The sequence below is a fragment of the Homo sapiens genome, chromosome 8 (genome assembly GCF_000001405.40).
Source record: "Homo sapiens chromosome 8, GRCh38.p14 Primary Assembly".
NCBI classification, from domain to species: domain Eukaryota; kingdom Metazoa; phylum Chordata; class Mammalia; order Primates; family Hominidae; genus Homo; species Homo sapiens.
The window spans coordinates 60,517,549-60,535,686 of record NC_000008.11 but is presented as its reverse complement, the minus strand read 5'-3'; the positions used below and the strand labels follow the sequence as shown (position 1 = coordinate 60,535,686).

At 40.2% G+C, this 18,138-nt stretch overlaps 1 protein-coding gene across 2 annotated transcripts in view, besides 1 other annotated feature; it reads right to left on the bottom strand.

Annotated features, from left to right (window-relative positions):
- RAB2A (RAB2A, member RAS oncogene family) overlaps positions 1–18,138 on the bottom strand; it is a 106,735-nt gene that overhangs the window by 87,958 nt on the left and 639 nt on the right. The gene's annotated exons all lie outside the window — the stretch shown is intronic.
- Positions 17,267–17,456: an enhancer, noted in NCBI's record as "active region_27423". NCBI's record gives its function as "activates an Ori minimal core promoter by ATAC-STARR-seq in GM12878 lymphoblastoid cells {active_cell/tissue: GM12878}" and the evidence as "EXISTENCE:reporter gene assay evidence [ECO:0000049][PMID:35858748]".

The following is an 18,138-nucleotide window of genomic DNA, read 5'->3' as shown; positions in this document are numbered from 1 at the left end:
GATTTTACTGCTTTCCTGTCTGTGAACCATCCAATATTTCCAATCAAATCTTCTGTTTACATTAACCAGAGTTGGTTTCTGTTATTTGCTACCACAGACCTCAACTAACAGAATCAGAAGCTGACAAATGGTAGTTCAGTTATGAGAGTTTTTAAAAAATGAGAGATTTATATGTGGTGATACAGAAAGACACTCAAGATTTACCCTCAAATGAAAAAAATAAAGTTGTAGAACAGTAGTGATTGTATAATCCTACTGGTAGAATTGGGACACATGTACACACACACAGGCTTATAGAGGTACAGAAAATTTCTGGAAGGATACGTAAGCCACTGTTTACCATGCTTGCTTACATATGTAAAGTGTAAAGAGGAACTTTCATCAATGCTATGTAAGCAGTACTTTTATTGACTTCATTCAACTACCTCCATAGTGACACTGCACTTAAATAACCAGCAAAACTTCTACTGTGACCAAATATAGCTACTTTAAATGTCAATCTGATAAGAAAATTACAAGAAAGCCTGCAAGTAAAATAATGCACTGTGAAACAGACAATTTTGATTTCTTTCTCCTACCTGTGTCTAAAAATCTCTTAAGAATACTACTCAGTAGTACTTTTTAATAAGATTTATTCATGGCTACGGCTGAAAATTCACATAGTGACACTTAAGTCCAACATGATTTTTCTATTTCTCCTACAAATTCTCCAAGAAATGAAACTTTAAGCCAGAAAGGATAGGGGGAAAGGCCAAGCAAGAAAAAAAAAAAGGTTAAATGGTGAATGAGGCTTATTATTGTACAAATATCTGAGTTAAGGGTAGAAATCTGCCCCACTTAGAGAATGGGGAAGGGAATAAGGCTCCTTAATGCAGATATCCAGAGGGTTAAGCAATCCCTTAAACTATGTCACACAATGGTCTTCACAGTGTGGTCCCAAGATTCCTTAGTGTTAATCATCATCTCCCTTTCCCCCAGTTCTGATGAAAACCCTTTACTGCCACATTTTGTACATCACTCCTGGTATAAAGTCATCAAACCTTCTTGGCAAAATAAGTGTTAGCAGCCCAACTCAGTATTTCTCACATAATATAAAGATGGGGCAAAAGCAGAAACTGATTCTACTGATTAGGTGGACAATTATTCAAATAAGTTATACCAAGTCTGTACCTATCACCTGATTTTTCATTTGTTATTTATGTTTTATTTTAAAGAGACAGAATTTTACTACACTGCCCAGGCTGGAGGGCAGTGGCTATTCACAGGCATCAGTGATCATGGTACACTGCAGCCCTGAATTCCTAGCCTCAAGCAATCCTCCTACCTCAGCCTTCCTAGTAGCTAGGACTACAGGCACATTCCACCACATCTGGTTACTGATTTTTCATTTGGAAAACGGGGTTAGCAGCTACCTACTAAGATTACCGCGAGAACATATATGAATGTCACAACATAGTACTGGCATACAGTAAGCAGGTGCTCAATAAAGGTTTACTGACAATCTGAAATCTGTTATAAGCCATTCACTCCAGTTAGAAAGTACCCTGTCCACACACCTTTAGAACTTCGTACATATTTTTATTACATTTTCTTATAGTTATTGTGGCAAATTGGTCTTCTCTGTAGGGTGGGACAGTCTTCATTTTTCGAACTCCAGCACAGGGACTGCCCACAATAGTATCTTTTTGTTGTTGTTGTTGTTGCTATTGTTTTGTTTTGTTTTTGAGACAGAGTCTTGCTCTGTCGCCCAGGCTGGAGTATAGTGGTGCGATCCCAGCTCACTGCAACCTCCGCCTTCAAGCGATTCTCCTGCCTCAGTCTCCCGGGTAGCTGGGATTACAGGCACCCACCACCACGCCCAGCTAATTTTTGTATTTTAGTAGAGATGGAATTTCGCCATGTTGGCCAGGCTGGTCTTGAACTCCTGATCTCAAGCTATCCACCCACCTTGGCCTCCTAAAATGCTGGGATTACAGATGTAAGCCACCATGCCTGGCCCACAATAGTATCTTATATTTCTTTAGGAAGAAAAAAAATCAACTGCAAATCTCTATCCTTTGCATAAACTCCATCTTCCAAGCCTTCATATGTGTCAATCAAATTCCTACTCCAGCACAAATTAACTTACCAGTGAACAAGCTCTTTCCATTTTATGAAGAGTCCAACTGTATGTCTTCTACTCACGGTCCTGGTATGAGTCCCTCTTTCATATGTCAGTCACCTAAGTATCTGAAAGTCATTATTATATTCTCCTTTAAGTCTTCTTTTTTAGGTTAAAATGGTTCAGATACTCAACCATTCCTAAAATGTCATGAATGTTATAGCCTTCATATCAGCATTACTGGTCTCCTGAGCACGGGCTCCTGTTTGTAGATATTCCTTTAAAACAAGAGTTTCAGAACTGAATTGCAGTTGAGGTCTGACAGGGTAGAACCTGCCTTATCCATACACTATACTTTCACTAATCTAGCATCACATTTATTCTTTTGTTCGCTTTATTACTTATCTGACTCATATGAATCAAGTAATGTAAAACTAAGTTTTTAGACATGTGTGGATATTGAACCAGCTGACCTCCATTTAGTATTTGTACGGTTATTTTACAAGCAAATACTGGGTTTTAACTTCATTTTTATGTAATACAATTTTGCTAAAATTTGGCCAATCATTCTGCCTACCAAGGTCATTTTGGATTCTGTCAGTTAAAATCCAAATTACATATTAGCTCTTTCAACCAAATTGGACTGTGTCCAAGTTGTTGCTAATATCAGAAGTCAAAAATCCAGGACTGCACATAGCAGCATGCTCCTTCCCGCTTGCCTACATGGCAGTCCTTTATGGATACAGTTCTTAAACCGGTTGAAAATTCATGTAGCTGGCTGAGTGCAGTGGCTCATGTATGTAATCCCAGCACTTGGGGAGGCCAAGATGGACAGATTGCTTGAGCCCGGGAATTTGAGACCAGCCTAGGCAACAAAGTGAAACCTTGTCTCTACAAAAAATACAAAAATAGCCGGCTGTGCTGGCATGCACTTGTAGTCCCAGCTACTCAGGAGGCTGAGGTGGGAGGATCACTTGAGCCCGGGAGACAGAGGTTGCAGTGAGCTGAGACTATGCCACTGCACTCCACCCTGGGGAACAGAGCAAGACTTCATCTTGGAAAAAAAAAATCCACGTAGCTATGAAACCAGTAGAATTTCTTCAACACACACCCAAGTTTATCCTGAGCAAGTATAACAAATACCTTTACATAGAGGACTGGTGACTCAATTCATCGGGCATACATTATTATTGCTTTAATTTATTACTTTTTAGCTATTTATTAATTTTTGTGTCAAGTAAAGCCTTGAGCATAAATAATTTGGGACACATATACTTTTACTTTCCCTTTGACACAGTTAAAACTGAACTAACAATACTTTATCCAAAGAAAGAAGATAACCACTGACTAACAGATTTATTTATATCAAAGACTTCTATAGAGCTACAAAACCACCTCTTTCCAAAGGGGTTCAAAATTGACTGAAATCATTCAAGTGGTACCACAAAATACTAAGAGTGAGTGTAGAAGAAATCAAGGTAGGCTGGGCACGGTGGCTCATGCCTGTAATCCCAGCACTTTGGGAGGCCAAGGCGAGTGGATCACCTGAGGTCAGGAGTTCGAAGCCAGCTTGACCAACATGGTGAAACCCTGTCTCTACTAAAAATACAAAAAAATTAGTTGGGCGTGGCAGTGCGCGCCTGTAATCCCAGCTACTCGGGAGGGTGTGGCAGGAGAATCGCTTGAACCCAGGAGGCAGAGGTTGCAGTGAGCCAAGATCACGCCATTGTAGTATAGCCTGGGCAACAAGAGCGAAAATCCGTGTTAAAAAAAAAAAAAAAAAAAAATCAAGGTAGAAGATGACTACTGGCCTTCCCTTCTCTTCCCTGAAGACTAGTGAAAAACAGTACCTCCTTGATATTCTTCTCAATCTCAAGTGGACTATGAAGACATCTGAGATGGAAAAGAACTTTCTTTTATTGAGTCATGGAGGACAATAGAATCAAGGAGAGCCATTTTGTGGTTAACACATGATCAGCACAGTGAACAGCTTTTTTCTATAGGCAAGACCAACCCCACTAAATTTTAGGATGCTCAACAGATAGGAAACATTATCTCTAAGGTATTACTATTAATAAAGCACTTTGCAGCTTACAAGGCACCTTACCTTCACATATTATTTACTTTAAGCTCACAAAAATCCTGTGAGGTATAGATAATCCAGGCATTGCTATTGGTTTTTCCAGATGAGAAAACTAAAACTGAAGAGGTATGAACTTTACTGAGGTCACAAGTAAACAGTACAGACACCACATTAATCGAGATATGCTAATTACAAATACCAGGCTCTCGGAAAATTTTCAAGAGTGGTGTCTAAGCTAAAATAACCAGCGAGGACTACATAGTAGCTATTTCTAAAGAAGGACAAATGCAAAAGGGTCATCCATCAATTTTAATAATGCTGGGGCAGCAGAGCAAGCATGAATACACCACTGACACTGATATATCAACTGTAAATAAATGAAGGAAACACATGACTGACACTTAAATTTTAAAGACAGCTGTAAAGCTAGGGGAAAAAAACAAAACAAAACCCTGAGTCTTGGTGAATAACCCTATAGGGTGCACTAGGCAGGTACTATACCTGTTTTAGAAACAGAAAATTTCAGAATTTAAATTAATTGTTCATGTGCACTAGTAAGTTAGTGGCAGGTATCTTCTCTTCAGTAATCTCTCTACTGGCCTGCAAGGAATAGGTGACCTATACATGCTTGGAAAATCTACCACATTGTTTCCTGTGCCAAGACATGTGCCCGTCTAAACCCAAAAGCCCATGACAAGTGGGCATGCCTGTGATCTACACCTTGATCTTTGTCTATATGACTGAACCAGGGTGGTACTTGATAGTAGAAATAAACCCAAATCCATCAGTGATTACAATACATATAAAAACATTAAATTCTCCTGTTAAAATACAGACTCCTAGATTGAAATTTTTAAAAATATAGAAATGGGCTACATTAAAAAATAGGCCTTTTTTAAAAAAAAGGTGATAAAGGGCTGGGCATGGTGGTTCATATTGTAATCCAACACTTTGGAAGGCCGAGGTGGGAGGATCACCTGAGCCCAGGAGTTGGAGACCAGCCTGGGAAACATGGCAAGACCCATTTCTGCAGAAAATTTAAAAATCAGCCAGGAGCAGCCAGGCATGGGGGCTCACATTAGTAATCCCAGCACTTTGAGAGGTTGAGGTGGGCAGATCACATGAGGTCAGGAGTTTGAAACTAGCCTGGCCAACGCGCTGAAACCCTGTCTCTGCTAAAAACACAAAAAGTAGCCAGGTGTGTTGGTGTGTGCCTGTAATCCCAGCTACTTGAGAGGCTGAGGCAGAACGGCTTGAAACCAGGAGGCAGAGGTTGCAGTGAGCCAAGACTGTGTCACTGCACTCCAGCCTGGGTGACAGAGCGAGACTCTCTCTCTCTCAAAAAAAAAAAAAAAAAAGAAAAAAAAATTAGCCAGGTGTGGTGGCATGTGCCTGTGACCTCAGCTACTTGGGAGCCTACGCTGGGAGGATCCCTTGAGCCCAGGAGGCAGAGGCTGCAAGTCATGATAATGCTATTGCACTCCAGCCTGGGTGACAGAGCAAGACCCTGTCTCAAAAAAAAGGTGACACAGAACCAGAATGAGTCAACTGATTACTTTGGAGAGAGATTTAGATATGCTGGTAAAGCCAAAGATGTATACACCTTCCACCCACAAATCCGCTGCAAGATTTATTTCTAAAACTCTAGCACCCAGCTCAAGGAGGCAGGCACAAGAATAATCTATGGAGTATCATCTTTTACAACAAAATAAACAACTTTAAGATGTCCATAAGTGAAAGAATGGAGAAAACTGCAGTATAGTCAAACAACAGAACATAATCAAGCAATTAATATCAATAAAATAGAATGAAATGTATTAATATAGATAAACCCCCAAAGTAATGAGCAAAAAAGTTTCAGAGTCAAGTGTAATGTTTACTTCCTAAACAAAGCAAGTATGAACCAAATATGCAAAATTAATATCAAATACCTGAATTCAAAAAACCATACTAAGAAACAAATGAAGGGAAACCTAATGACAACGGAGTAACTCCTCCGTAAGATGTATGGGTCATAAATACCTTACAAATTAGCCCCCAAATTCACGCGGGGAGGGGAGAAATAATCTGACAGAAGAACAAGAAAAATCCATTGTCACAATATGAGATTTTAACATCTCTCCCCAAAGGTCAAAAAAGAAGTAGACAAAAGACTATATAGAAGATATAATCCACGCTAATATCAAGTCTGATCTAACAGACATGTACGGAAACCTGAACTCACTACACACACAAGAATATTTTCAAGCACATATGGAACATGTACAAAAACCAATCAAGTACTCGGCTACAAAATTAGTCTCACACACTGAAGAATCAGTACATATAGCCTACAGTCTCTAAGTGTAATAAAGTCAGAAATCAATAATGAAAAGATTTTTTAAAAAAGAAGAAAAAGACAAAGAAAAAAAAAAGAAACATGCTTAATGGGTCAAGAGAGAAGCCATGAGAAGAAAACAAAAACTTCAGAGTAGCCAATTGCCCAAGATCTGTTACACTGTTTTACTTGGATTACTATAAGCCCTCTTTAAATTCTTATCATAAATCTCTTTTCTTGAGCTAGCTGGAGTGCGTTTCTGTTCCTTCACAGAACAAAATCCTACCGAGTCTTTTAAATCATTACCAGGAGCCAAGCACAGTAACTCACACCTGTAATCCCAGCACTTTCGGGGGGCTGAGGCGGGAGGATCACTTGAGGCCAGGAGTTTGACAGACCAGCCTAGGCAACATAGTGAGACCTCATCTCTTAAACAAGATAAATCATAAGTGGACTTGGATGGCCAATCACTCTAAATTAAGCAAAGCTGCCAAAAATATAGATATCTGAAATAAAAGGAATCTTGATAACATAAGAAACTTGCCATAAAACAACTTGATGCAAACAAATAAAAACGCCAACACAGGGTAGGAAAAAAAACAATTAGAATCAAGGATAACATGCTTGTTATTCTTGTAGCAGCTGGTCAAAAACAAGCAAGCTAAGTGGGGGACAGTGGGACGATCAACATATTAGAACACACAGAGGGCAAAAAAAATTATGTTTTTGCTATTATTAGCATTAGACACTATACAGCACTGGTCAGATTTGGGTGAATTTTTCAAATGCATATGGGGAAATTATTGTAACATTCAAAGAAGCAGGATAAAAAAGATATAATCATTTGTTATTCAAGTCACTGTTACACATATGATATCATTTATTCATTCCCATTTTATAGATAACGACACAAAGACTCAGAAAGATCAAATGGGTTGCCCATAGTCACATGGCTGGTAAATAGCAGAGAAAGTACTTTATCCTACTTTTATATAGGATAGTTCTGCACTATTATGCATGAATGGAGGTCCTACCTATTTAAGGGAATTGAAGGCTATGTACTCTCACAGAAACTTAACAGACCAAACAGTAAGCCAACAGAAGAGGTCTGATGTGAAATTTATGGGAATCAGGAACTGTAATATGGGGAAGAGAGCATGAACTTTGGAGTCCGAAAAACCTGGGTTCATGTTCCATATTGGTCAGTTACTAGCTGTATACAAAAAGACTGTATGTGATAACCAGTGTCCCTTTCCTCACCTATAAAATGGTGTCTTCCTCATAGATTCAATGAGTTATGCCTCTAGAGAAAATGCCCTATAAAAGCAGTTGTATATTTACACTCGCTATACTGTATTATTTTTAAGAGGAATCAGAAGCAAAGCTTCTTTCAAGATTCTCAATGTCAGCAGTTACTAAGTATATACATGAACATACTTCAAAAAAAAAATAATGGATACTATGATTAGGGTAAATGAGCAGGGTTGTCTTTTTGCACTGGTTAGTGCTAAATTCAGTGACCACTTCAAAGAAGTCTACACCACCTCATATCATAGACTTTGAGTATAAATGTCCTGATATGGTTTGGCTCTGTGTCCCCATGAAAATCTCATCTGGAATTGTAATCCCCACATGCTAGGGGAGTGGCCAATCTGGTTGTTTAATAAGGCATGGCCCTTCCTCCATTGTCCCTCTCCTGCCGCCTTGTGAAGAAGGTGCCTGCTTCCCCTTTGCCTTCTGCCATGATTGTAATTTTCCTGAGGCCTCTCCAGCTCTCCAGAACTGTGAGTCAATTAAACCTCTTCTGATCTTATTTTACTGTTTCTACCATTTGCTCCTTAGCCCTTGAAATTGTCTGGCTCTGTGTCTCCACCCAAATCTCACATCAAATTGTAATTTCCAATGTTGGGGGAGGGGCCTGGTGGGAGCTGATTGGGTCACAGAGGTGGATTCCTCCCCTTGCTGTTCTCAGTGACAGTGAGTTCTCACGAGATCTGGTTGCTTAAAAGTGTGTAGCACTTCCCCCTTCACTCTCTCTTTCCTGGTCTGACATGGCTAGATGTGCTTGCTTCCCCTTCACCTTCTGCCATGATTATAAGTTTCCTAAGGCCTCCCAGCCATGCTTCCTTTACAGCCTGTGGAATTGTGAGTTAATTAAACCTCTTTTTCTTCATAAATTCCCCAGTCCCAAGTACTTCTTTTTTTTTTTTTTTTTTTGAGATGGAGTCTCGCACTGTCGCCCAGGCTGGAGTGCAATGGTGCCATCTCAGCTCACTGCAACCTCTCCCTCCCGGGTTCAAATGATGCTCTCATCTCAGCCTCCCAAGTAGCTGGGATTACAGGCGCATGCCGCCACGCCTGGCTAATTTTTTGTATTTTAGTAGAGATGGGGTTTCACCGTGTTGCCCAGGCTGGTCTCGAACTCCTCAGCGCAAGCAATCCACCCGCCTCAGCCTCCAAAGTGCTAGGATTACAGGCGTGAACCATCATGCCTGGCCTCAGGTAGTTCTTTATAGCAGTGTGAGAATGGACTAATGCAGGCCTTTATGGTAAGCGGAAAAATGCCCTCCAAAAGATATTAACATCCTAATCCCCAGAACCTGTGAATATTTTACCCTAGCATGGCAAAGGGGATTTTGTAGATTTGATTAAGATTAGACCTTGAGATGGGGAGATTAGCATGTATTATCCAGGTAAGCCCAATCTAATCACATGAGTCCTTAAAAGTGGAAAACCTTTCCTAAAACAGAGAGACTTGGGATGGCCCAACAAGAAAGATGAGACACAAGAAGGACGTGACCCACTGTTGTTGGTTGTGAAGATGGAGGAAGGGGGCCATGGGCCAAGGGATGTGGGTAGGTGGGTGGACTCTAGAAGTCGGGAAAAGCTCTCAGATGATAGCCAGGAAGGAAACGGGGTCTCAGCCCTACAGTTTCATGGAAGTATATTCTGCCAACAACCTGAATGAGCCAGGTAGCTGAATGAGCTAGAAGGGAACCCAGTCCTGTTGAAACCTGGATTTCATCCCAGTGACACGTTAGACTTCTGAACTATAGAACCGTAAGATAAATTCATGTTGTTTCAGTTGCTAAGTTTCTGGTAGTTTGTTATGCTAGCAACAGAAAACTTATATATATATATATATATATATATATATATATATATGTACACACACACATATATACATATAGACATATATACATATAGACATATAGACATATATATACATATATACATATATAGACATATATATATATCTTTATTCTCTCATTTACATTAAAAAAACTAAAAAATATATATATATAAGTGCCCTTAAATCCTGTTTTGAAACAAGGAGGAATAAATTGGTCAATGCATGCAGCCTACCCAGCAGAACCTACCTAGCACACATTCATTATTTACTGAAGCACTAACTCTAACTCTGTACCAGGCACCATCCTTCCTTTAAGGAGCTGGCTACAGCATGCTGCTATCAATATTCATTTTCTCCCTTAGATTTGGCTAAAAACACAGTGACTCTCAGCTATACCTGAAAATGAGAATATTTTAAAGTGAGAACTGGGAGAAACCTAAAGCTACATTATGGCTATGAAAAGTAAAAACTCAGAAGATATGGGGAAAGAAAGAGCAAAGGGGAATGGAGCCAGACCACCCTGTAATCAAGAGAATGGCCCGTGGAGTCAGACACCCCTAGATCTTTGTTCTACCACTGTATTCGTTCGTTTTCACACTGCTATAAAGATACTACCCGAGACTGGGTAATTTATAAAGAGGCTTAATTGACTCACAGTTCTGCATGGCTGGGGAGGCCTCAGAAAACTTATAATCATGGCAGAAGGGGAAGCAGGCACATATTACGTGGCGGCAGGAGAAAAACAGAGTATGAATGAGGAACTGTCAAACACTTATAAAACCATCAGATCTCATGAGCACTCACTATCACCAGATCAGCATGGGGGAAACTGACCCCATGATCCAATCACCTTCCATGGGATCCCTCCCTCAACACGTGGGGACTACAGAAATTAAAATTTGAGATGAGATTCGAGTGGGACACAGAGCCAAACCAGATCAACCATCTACTAAGATAATTTGCCCCAAATGACACAACTCAGTTTCTCCATCTGTAAAACAGTAATCTCATGTATCTGTTGAAGAATTAACAGATAATAAGCTTTTGATATGGTGTAGGAACTATAAAAAGTGTGGAGGATTACTCATGAGAATCTGCTATACAGACCACAATGCCAAAAGCTAATGTGATGGAGAATTCCATACAAATTCAGTCTGGCTACACCTTAGGGATTAAATAAAATCCCCCAAAGCAGAAAACTTGGCAGCAGAAAAAGAAGAATCAATTTTAGAAAAATAAGCAAAAAAGGCCCATGGCTTACCAGCAGTGGAATGTTACAGTACTACCATCAATACAAACAATACTTTTTAAAAATACTGATGTCTGGGACTCCCCGGAGAGTGACTAAAACAGCATTTCCATGGATGAGAACCAAATATTAATAGTTTGAGTTAAGAAACACTGCAGAAATTAAAAGGGGGCTACTATGTGTGCATTACAGGAGAGAGAATCTAGAACCTTTTTGCCAGGGATCTCTTACTTACAAGTGAAAAGTAACAGCTAAAACTAGAGTATTTTAAAACTTGCAAATAATCAAGGCTAATGAAATCAAATGGGACAGTTTCTTTTAGAAAATGTAAAGTTAGGAGAGGGACAAGAGAGGTCTGCATATGGCTGCATCTTTTGTAGCAAAGGACACAGCCTCATAGACTAAAGTGAGCAGAGAATAACAAATGAAGTAAGCACAGCTGGGCCAGAAGGAAAGGGAAAAACAGCTGAGATGGCAAAATTAGGGTCTGCTCAAATAAAACATCAAACTGACTGGCTACTGCAAGAGGAGGAGAGCTGAAGAATTAAAATGAAGGAGGGAAGCAGTTGGGGAGATAAAAGAGAAACTTTCATGCTGGACAGGAATGGCATGGGACAGAAAGGACAGAACACCAATTGAGAAGATGAGTAGGGAGAGTCACCAGAGGAGTTTAAGAAAGGTAAAAAGGAATGAGAACAACAGGGACAATAGCCTCTATGATTCACTATAAAGTCTCAGGCACGGTATAAATATTAGGGGGAGGAAGTAGTAAATAAACTGGGTTAGAAAACAGACAGAAAAGAGCTAGTCAAAAATCCTGAAAGACTACCAATAATATATATAAAGCAAAAATTTGGAGGCCGAGGCAGGCGGATCACGAGGTCAGGAGATCGAGACTATCCTGGCTAACATGGTGAAACCCCGTCTCTACTAAAAACACAAAAAATTAGCCAGGCATGGTCATGGGCGCCTGTAGTCCCAGCTACTTGGGAGGCTGAGGCAGGAGAATGGTGTGAACCCGGGAGACGGAGCTTGCAGTGAGCCGAGATCGCGCCACTGCACTCTAGCCTGGGCGACAAAGCGAGACTTGTCTCAAAAAAAAAAAAAAAAATGAAGGTTAACAAAAGTATATCATCTAAATTGTAAATGATGTTAAAAGATATGTTTCAGCTCTCATTTGATAAATGAAACAGCTAAGCACATCTAAAAATGGGCAAAACTAAATAATACAGTTTAGGAATCCATAAGTGATACAACTATGAAGAAAAGCAGGGGAGGATTAATATAAAATTCAGGCCAGTGGAAAACTGGTTGAGAAAGAGACATATGTAAGAATGTGGAGTCCTTGGCCGGGCGTGGTGGCTCATGCCTGTAATCCCAGCATTTTGGGAGGCAGAGGCGGGCGGATCACGAGGTCAGGAGATCAAGACAATCCTGGCTAACACAGTGAAAGCCCGTCTTCACTAAAAATACAAAAAATTAGCCGGGCGTGGTGGCGGGCGCCTGTAGTCCCAGCTATTCGGGAGGCTGAGGCAGGAGAATGGCGTGAATCCAGGAGGCAGAAGTTGCAGTGAGCTGAGATTGCGCCACTGCACTCCAGCCTGGGTGACAGCGAGACTGTCTCAAGAAAAAAAAAAAAAGAAAAAGAATGTGGAGTCCTTTTGCATGGGTGTTTATCATTATTCTTTAAAACTATTAAACTGTGTATATGTATTTTATATATTCTTTTATATGCATGCTACATCTCAATAAAAAAGCTTTAATAGAATTTTTCTACCTCTGAACTTCCCAGGTTGTTTTTTGAAGGTAATTCTAACAAATCTGCTTATATAATAAAATAAAATGACTAGTACTTCTGGCCGCAGGTTTTGCAACATTCAGCTCCACCTCAAATCTAGTCAATCAAAATCTCTAGGGGTTGGGCTGCTGAATATTTTTTTTTTTAAACAAACACTCCAGTGATTCACAAGAATCTAAAGAAACTCAAATTTGAGTCTCCCACAGGAAGAGGTCTTCCTTCTGTTTTTCTCTAGAGCTATTGAGAATCTAATCCCCTTCCTTCCCCAATCCTTCCCCAAATCCTCTACAACTTTGCTCCTTACCTCCCCTTCTCTTGTATTTAACCTTTCAACCTCAAGTCTCTCCTATCTTAAAATACAAACACACACTCACATTTATTCTTCAATAAAATAACCCATGCATGGTTCTACTTGTAACTTCCCAATAACTCTTTTTGTAAAACCACCAATACTATGTGTGATATTGTTTAAATTTTTTTTTAAAAAAGAAAGTAGGAGGACCCTACAATATAAAAAGCCCCATTTCACCAACACCAACTCTTTCAGTGTAATCAATATAAGCATATAATTCTACTCTCCTCCCCAGAAGTAACGGTTAAGTGTGTAGTCTTGGGACTTTTTTTATTTACACATATATAAAAATCCACAGTTTTTTAACAACATAAATGAAAATACACCTTAGTTCTCCCCCTCACTGACATCTGAATCAAACACTGTGTCAAAGCACTAATGTCTTCCTACCATTTCAACCAATAGTCCCTGACCTCTACTGCACATGACACTGGTAACCACTCCCTCTCTGGGATCTGCCTTCTCTGCAGATTCCATGACACTGTACTGCCCAGGTCTCTCTTGCTCTTTTGATTATTCCTTGTTAGCCTACTATGCTGATAACTTTCCCCATGTGCCCCATGAACACTAGTATTTCCCACCATTACATCCAAGCTTTCATCTGTCAATTCATTCAATGAACAATCACCACCTACTTCATTCCAGGAGGACAACTTTGTCAGATCCCCATTTGTCAATGGTTTTGCATGTGAACCAATGCTCCAAATCACTTGCATCAAAGAAACAAATGCTGCCTTGCCGCGGTGGCTCACACCTGTAATCCCAGCACTTAAGGAGGCCGAGGTGAGTGGACCACCTGAGGTCAGGAGTTCGAGACCCAGTCAGACCAACATGGCAAAACTCCATCTCTACTAAAAATACAAAAATCAGCTGGGCGTGGGGGCAGACGCCTGTAATCCCAGCTACTGGGGAGGCTGAGGCAGGAGAATCGCTTGAACCTAAGAGGTGGAGGTTGCAGTGAACCCAGATGGCGCCACTGCACTCCAGCCTGGGTGACAAGAGCAAAACTCCATCTCAAAAAAAAGAAACAAATGCTTGCAATTTTAGCATGATACATAATTTCACTTTGCAACTAATTTGAACTATATTATGATCAGCAAGCCCCTACGCCAATCAGGAGGATGGGAATTAGAAGTAAGCTTGAGTAGTTAATTTTTTAAGGTGATAACTTATTAATAATTATTTTCATATCATGAGAATTTTTCTTCCCTACATAACCTTGTAATTTCAAAAGCTCAGAAAATGAACTCTCAGGTAATAGGGACTCCATTTTATGTTATTAGCTCCCAAGTCTCTATCCCAGATTACTCTCTCCTGAGCCAGAAATAAACTTTCAACTACATACCAGACATTCCCCCATGCCCACTCTGGCGGTGCCTACTCATCATTCTAATTTCAGCTGAAACATCACCTAGTGCCTCCCCTCAAGGATCCATCCACTTAACTATTAAATAAATCTGACACTCAATGGTGTACCCTGGCATCTAAGACAAAGGCAAAGACCTTCCTAACTAAAAAGATAATTTAAAATGCAAGTGGGGCTGAGAGCTGTGGCTTGTGCTTGTAATCTGGCACTTTGGGAGGCTGAAGTGGGAGGATGGCTTAAGCCCAGGAGTTTGAGACCAGCCTGAGCAACACAGTGAGAGCCCATCTCTACAAAAATTTAAAAATTAGCCAGGCATGGTGGCATGTGCCTGTGTTCCCAGCTACTTGGAAGACTTAGGTGGGAGGATTGCTTAGGCCCAGGAGACTGAAGCTGTAGTGAGTGAGCCGTGATAGTGCCACTGCACTCCTGCCTGGGCAACAGAGATCATGTCTCAATAGATAGATAAATAATATAAGTAAAATAAAATAAAATGGAAGTGGTGGGTATATACATAAGAGTGAAAAATAAAAAATAAAATGTAAGTGGGACTGGGACTGAAGAGAAGGGAAACAGAATGAGGGAAGAGAGGAGGGGACCAGCATAAAATGCAACAGGGAGTGGTAGGATTTGTTAAACTCTCAAAAGAATGGATAAAAAGGAGTTGGCCAGGTGACAAAAATTTTTGACATAACTTTTTTTGATAGGGAAGAACAAGAAGGAGTGCTTCAGATATTAGCAGAAATAAGAACACAACCAAACCTGTGCCTTTGTTTACCTTGCTGAGCGTTGAGCAGCAGGGAGGGTTAGTGATAAGGTTAAAATGGTTGGCAGATGCTAGAATTTCAGAAGAAAAATTACTATAGATTCGTATTTTTTCTCTCCATGCTTGATAATTAACTGCTTATTAAAAACCACTTTCCACTTTACATCTAGATTTAAATGACACATTTTACTAAATGATTCAGAAACAAGACAGGAACAAGGAAAAAATTTAAAGCTACATTTTAACTGCATTTAGTCTTACAGTAAGAAAACAGCTCAATAGTATCATCATGATCATGTAAAAGTTTTTAAAACCTCTTCTATTAAAGAGGGAATTCTGAAAAGGAAAAATGTGCATTGTTCCTTTCCTTTGAGAAATCAAAGTACTTTCACATTTATCCTCATTTTATCCCACATACTGAGAGAAGGTTATAGGTTACGGAAACAGGGAAACAGAAAAATTAGGTGATTTCCTTCATTCTAAGATGCATGTTTTTGACCCTGACTTTTTAAAAAATCAAAGTGGATCTCACATTACTGATTTTAAAGTCATCTTTTCTAGGGGAGGGCCACACTGAGTGTATCTTACAACTATGGGTACACTCTGCATTAAAGAAATATGGTAAAGGATTTTGCCCAAATTAGTAAGCAAGAAGGTGGCAGAACTGGGCAACAACAACAACAACAACGACACCACTTCTGTTAAGTTATTAATATATACAAACAGGAATATAGTAGCCTGTTTGGCTCCTCTCTTATTAGTTAAATATACAGGGCCTACCTTCTACTACGCTCTTCCTGAAAGAAATACAGAGCCATACAAAACATCTTTTCTGACTTCAAGAAGTATATAATAGGTACCTACATAATAGAGGTGCCTATACAAGTATCTATACAACAGAAAAGTCTGGGATCAATATCAGAAGAATGACACAAAGTGAGAAACATAAATTCAGAAACGGAGTAGTCACTTTCAGCCAGGATACTGTGAAAATCTTCACACAATAAGAGCTTAATATATGTTGACTGTGAAGGCATTACGGAAAACTCAGATAAGACTTTGAAGGACTGATGGATCTTCCACAGGGAGAGATTGTGCCGGAAAGCACTCTAAGAATAGAGACTAGCAGTGCCCAGGAAAAAAACACCAAAATCAGTCACTGGGACTCAATGGCAGAAGCAAGGTGGGGAATAGCGGGAAAGAAGGCGAGAAATGTAGATAGGGGCTAAAATATAGAGTTCACTGAAGGTCAAACTAAAAATTGTGAGCAAACAGGAGTAGCCTTTTGACATTCATGCTTCAGGATGACTAAACTGACAGTAAACTACACTGGCTGAACTGGAGTAGGGAGAAGTACTGCTGCAGACTATAACAGTGTCAAGAATTCTGTTCCTGAACTAGGTCGTATCAGCAGCAATGACAAGAAAGAAGTGTCTTCCCTTTGAATTGCGTGGGGACTGCTTTTGGATAAGAGCAAATTCCAAGAGAACAGAGCATTAACTTGTTAGGATTTGTAGCCCCACTACTCCATGCACAATACTTTATTTATCCACAGTACAGCCTCAAATAAAAAACTGAAAAAAGGCAACCAGCAAAGTCTGATTTGAATTTTCACCACTAATGAGATAGCCAAATGCCACAGTCACAAGCTTCTATTTCTCAAACCCACTCATATTACAGTTAATGTGGCATTCCTCTCCAATCTTGTTTTTACAGCCTAAATGAAATTTTGCCAGAAGACTTTAGAATTCTCCTTCTTCCAAATACACCACAGCATTTTTCTTTTAAAGTTTACAAATCCAATTTCCACACACACACACACGCACGCACGCATCAGAAAACCTTGCTGAAAACTCATGTATCTAGCAGAAATTTTTTCTTTCAGGCAGCAATAAATATGCTTTTTTTTTTTTTTTTTTTTTTTTTTTGCAAACTCCACCTTCCGGGCTCAAGTGATCCTCCCGCCTCAGCCTCCCAAGTGGCTGGGATTACAGGCGCCTGCCACGACGCCCGGCTAACTTTTGTACTTTTAGTAGAGACGGGGTTTCACCACGTTGGCCAAGCAGGTCTCGAACTCCTGATCTCAGGTGATCCCCCACCTCGGCCTCCGAAAGTGCTGGGATTACAGGTGTGAGCCACCGCGTCCGGCCAACATGCTTCTTTAGTTACTTATAGAACCTGCCACATCATTAGTTCAACTACAAACTGCTGCTTACATGACCGAAGTTGTGCAAAGGGTCCAAAGTTGTGCAAGAGTAACCACTGAAATCAGACTCTGGTATATTAATAGTTGCAACATCTAAACAATCTTTATGTTTATTATTAGATTCAAAGTAATGCCAAATCACAGGTATTAAAAATATCTACGAAGAGTCTGTTTACTTTTCTGTGAAATATACTAGGACGTCATTTTAAGTGAGAATAACTGAATTTCTTTCAGCTCATGGACATGAGCTCACCTGAAAATTAGCAGTTGTGACACCGGACTTGACATATCTAAAACATCAGCGTCCTCAACATACACATACCTAAGTACACACCCAGAGCACTGAACGACTTTACATTACTATATAACCCCAGTTCACACGTGGCAAAAGTCCACAGAACTCGTTCATGCTTTCCTAACCCCGAAAGGGATTCTCCAGCCGTCAAGTAATGAGATGTGACTTATTCTGACGTGAGAGTTGAAGGTGTTAAAAAAGCATATTTTATATATATGTATATATATAAAATACATATTTTAAAGGTTTCCTTTTCTCTTTCTCGGCTGCCTGTCCCACGCCAAAAAGCGCCTTGCCCAGGCCTTGATAGATGCGTGCTGGTGGAGGAAGGTTGGACTGGTCAGGAACCAAGACCCGGGCCCCAACACCTTCTGCTCCCCTAGGTTTCCCTCCTTCTTTTTCCTGGGGCCGCGAAGAGACCTAACGCAAGGGGCCCTGGGGGTGGGGTGCAGTCATGTGAGTCGGGCCCCGGCGG